We start from the raw sequence: 3,803 nt of genomic DNA, 5'->3' as shown, positions 1-3,803 counted from the left end.
ATATAATATGTCCAAAATATTGCATAGGATATAATTATGCTAAAAATGCTTTTTTTTTTTTTTGAGACAGTGTCTCTGTCACCCGGGCTGGAGTGCAGTGGCGCGATCTCAGATCACTGCAGCCTCAACCCCGGGGCTCAAGTGATCCTCCCACCTCATCCCCCTGAGTAGCTGGGATTATAGGCACAGGCCACCACACCTGGATAATTTTTTTATTTTTTGTAAAGATAGTGCCTCCCTATGTTGCCCAGACTGGTCTCGAACTCCTGTACTCAAGTGATCCGCTTGCCTTGGCCTCCCAAAGTGCTGGGATTACAGGCATGAGCCACCGTGCTCAGGCAAAAAAGCATTTTTTATATATCTGAAATTCACATTTAACTGGCATTCTGTATTTTTATTTGCTACATCTGGTAACCCTAGGTGGGAGGACTTCAGAGAGGATTATGATGGCACAAGCGTAGCCCTCAAGGGTCCCCCAGATCAGTTGGGTTTGCAAAGCTTTGACATAAATCAGATACAGAACAATTGCAAAAAGAGTATACCGTGTAGATCACAGGCAAAAAGAGTGTACCATGTAGATCACAGGTTCTATGAGCACCTTGAACTCTAAGCAATTCTAAGCCAGCACAGAACACTGGAAGGTAGGATAAGCCAAAAAAGACTTTAGGAATTGGATTTGAGTTCACAGTTCAGAATCAAGGGGTCCCAGCTGCTGTTATTTTTTCTCTGTGACCGAACTCCTGCCTTGTACCCACAGGCACTTTTGTGTGAATTAGGAAAAGGAGCCCTTTCCTGGGGTCAGAGACAGCATTGCTTTTGGTGCACAGCTTGGAGCATGAATTCCAGGCTGGAGTTCAGCCCCCACTCACCCTCTCAGCTGGGTACAAGCTGCACAACCCTTTCTGGCAGCTCTGAGCCTACTGCCCTTGTGACAGGTCTGCTTTTTGCCTACTAACTTGGACCCATTCCAATTGCTTACACTCTATCTGCTTTGTTTTGGGGTCTGGCCATCAGTGGGGAGGGCTTTCCCCCCACCACCAAGGCTCAGTTTTCTAAAGCCATGTTTGTCAAAAGCATCCGTGTGCAAATTCCTTTGTTCATAATGGTGGCATTCAAGTTGAATTGCGCATGAAATTGTCTTGCTAAAGAAGCGGCTTTCTCTATATAAAAGAGGGCAAGAGAAATTGAAGGATCTGATTAGTTAATAAGAATTCTGAGTGGTGGAATTCCAGATTAGCATAAAACAATTTCTTGTTCAGAGCACGTGCAGCACAGAGCAAAAGAATTTTTTTTGTTAATGCATTTAGTTCTAAAATAGTATAATCACAATAAGACATTCCAATGTGTGAATTATAGTATATTAAGTCATGACTAATTGCATTGATTTGCATTCAGGATTTTTTAACATCTGTGTGGTAATTATCCTAATCCAATTTGTTATGCAGAATACAATCAATGTTATGTATGTTAGTGTTTAGGGCCCCGACACAATTTCCTGTAATAAAAGGGAATGAAATACAAAGGTAGCTCAGGTGGAAAGACAAGCACATCTATTATACACATCAAGCTCCCTTTCTTGATCTCCAAAATTAGCGGGGGGAGCGCGGAGTGGAGATCAAGTAAATTTAATTAGCATTTTAAAAGGAGGCCCAAGAAAAGAGAGAGGGATCGAGCGAGAGCGCTCCTGAGAACTGAGAGCAAGCTGTATTAAACCCTCAGGAAGAAGATTTTTTTTTTCTAACAGGCTGTGGCTTTCAGAAGCTACCAGAAATAATGTCCTGACCTCACCTGATAATGAGCCAATGAGACCATGTTTTGCTGACATAGTGCTATTTCAGTAAGGGTTGCATCTTACCTGGGAGTCAGGGTTTAGTTTTAAACCTTTCATTTTTCTGTCCTTTTAGGAAAAAGAACTCTGCCTAACATCTCCCAGAAAGTCCTAGGAATCTGGGGCATAACAAAGTAGCTGAGCCGACTTTAGACATAGGCAAAGAAAGCTATCTATGTCTGTGTCATTTGTAAGATACTAGAGAGCCCTCCTCCACCTCCATACGGGAGCACACGCATGCACATGCGCACACACACACACACACACAACCTTGCGGCCCCCTCTCAGATGCCTGAAATTCCTACTTTGGGGCATCTAGTCTTTTAATTTCTGGATTTGTCCGTTTTAAAAATGCCAGTTTTCCTTAACAATGCAAACCTTACCTATACTTAACCAGTCTATTCCAAGAGAAAAGCTTTTACTTTTTGGGGGGTTATTTTATTTCCTCAAATACCTTTGTATCAGAGAGCAAGTTTTAGTTCAGAAGAGAGTAGAGAGAATGTGAGGGTCTTAGATGTCTGAGGGGTGGCCAGGCATGGTGGCTCACGCCTGTAATCCCAGCACTTTGGGAGGCCGAGGCAGGCAGATCACCTGAGGTCAGAAGTTCTAGACCAGCCTGACCAACATGGAGAAACCTCATCTCTACTAAAAATACAAAATTAGCCGGGCATTGTGGCACATGCCTGTAATCCCAGCTACTCAGGAGGCTGAGGCAGGAGAATTGCTTGAACCTGGGAGGCAGAGGTTGCAGTGAGCCAAGATCACACCATTGCACTCCAGACTGGGCAACAAGAGTGAAACTCCATCTCAAAAAAATAAATAAATAAAAGATGTCTGAGGGGCCACAGAGTTCCCAAAGACAGCGGGGAGGGAAGGGGAAGGCCTGAGAAGCAAAGGTGGTAGATATTCTAGACAGTATTCACTTACTTTGCCATTTTTATGAGTAGACAGACAAGTCCTGGTAGCCCTACTGCCTTCCCTCTGCATCCCCCAAGGGTGGAACCCATGTCTGTGGGGAAAGGGAGCAAAATAGACACTGGATCTGCTCCAGCCTCCCCTATTTCTCCCTGCTCCTCTCTATCCCCACCCAATAGCCAGTTCCCATTCCCTCTCTATTGTCCCCTCGGTCAATCCATAGTGTAAAGCTGTGGGTCCCAAAGCCGGCTGATAATAAGAATCAGCAGGGAGCTTGTTAAGCATATAGATGCCTTGTCGAATCCCTCATTAGTTTGCATTTACTAGGTATGGGAAAGAGCCCAGGCATAGGTATTTTTCAAGCTGCTTCCCAGGTGATTTTAATGGGCAGCTCTACCGGGCAAACACTGGCATCCACTTCAGCTTTCCACCAGGTGTGCCTGCCTAAGAGTGGAGCATGCAAGTGGAGGTGGTGGTATGGCAAGTGCCAGATATAATCAAGCTTCTCTTAGTAATTTTCCATCCATTGACCCCTTTACTCTGTAAATGGATTGGCTATAAATCCCCACTGGACCTTGTTGTATTTAGAGTTGAGTTCGGTCTCTGTCCCTTATTGCAGCAGCCTTGAAGAAAGTCTTCGTTACCATTTTAATAAGTGTCACAATAATCTTTCTCTAACAGGCCGTTAGGGAGAAATTACCTCTGCCAGCCACCAGGGTTTTATTTAACCAACTACTTTCTAGTTAGTCAAAGCCTGCTCCAGCACACTAAACAGGACCCTGGTGGTTCCACCCAGGTGCCTAATATACAAGCAGGAAAGACTCTGCTAAGGATTGGCAGTCCTTGTTGGGAATTTGTTGCCAGTTTCCATGAGCAAAGTTCTAAAATTCCTATCATTCAAACAAGCATTTACTCTGAGTCTTTCTGTGCTCGGAACTGGGAAATAAGACTAGGCCCCTTTGCCCCTAACATTCACAGAAAAACAGGGAAGAAGATAAATAAACAGGCCAGGCACAGTGGCTTACACCAGTAATCCCAGCACTTTGGAAGGCTGAGGCGG

At 44.5% G+C, this 3,803-nt stretch overlaps 1 annotated feature.

Annotated features, from left to right (window-relative positions):
• Positions 802 to 1,305: an enhancer, noted in NCBI's record as "NANOG hESC enhancer chrX:123365081-123365584 (GRCh37/hg19 assembly coordinates)". NCBI's record gives its function as "activates a minimal SCP1, AML or CMV promoter by ChIP-STARR-seq in naive H9 embryonic stem cells {active_cell/tissue: H9 hESC(naive)}" and the evidence as "EXISTENCE:reporter gene assay evidence [ECO:0000049][PMID:30033119]".

Source organism: Homo sapiens, chromosome X (assembly GCF_000001405.40).
Source record: "Homo sapiens chromosome X, GRCh38.p14 Primary Assembly".
Taxonomy (NCBI): domain Eukaryota; kingdom Metazoa; phylum Chordata; class Mammalia; order Primates; family Hominidae; genus Homo; species Homo sapiens.
The sequence above is the reverse complement of the archived record's forward strand: the minus strand, read 5'-3'. Positions and strand labels throughout refer to the sequence as shown.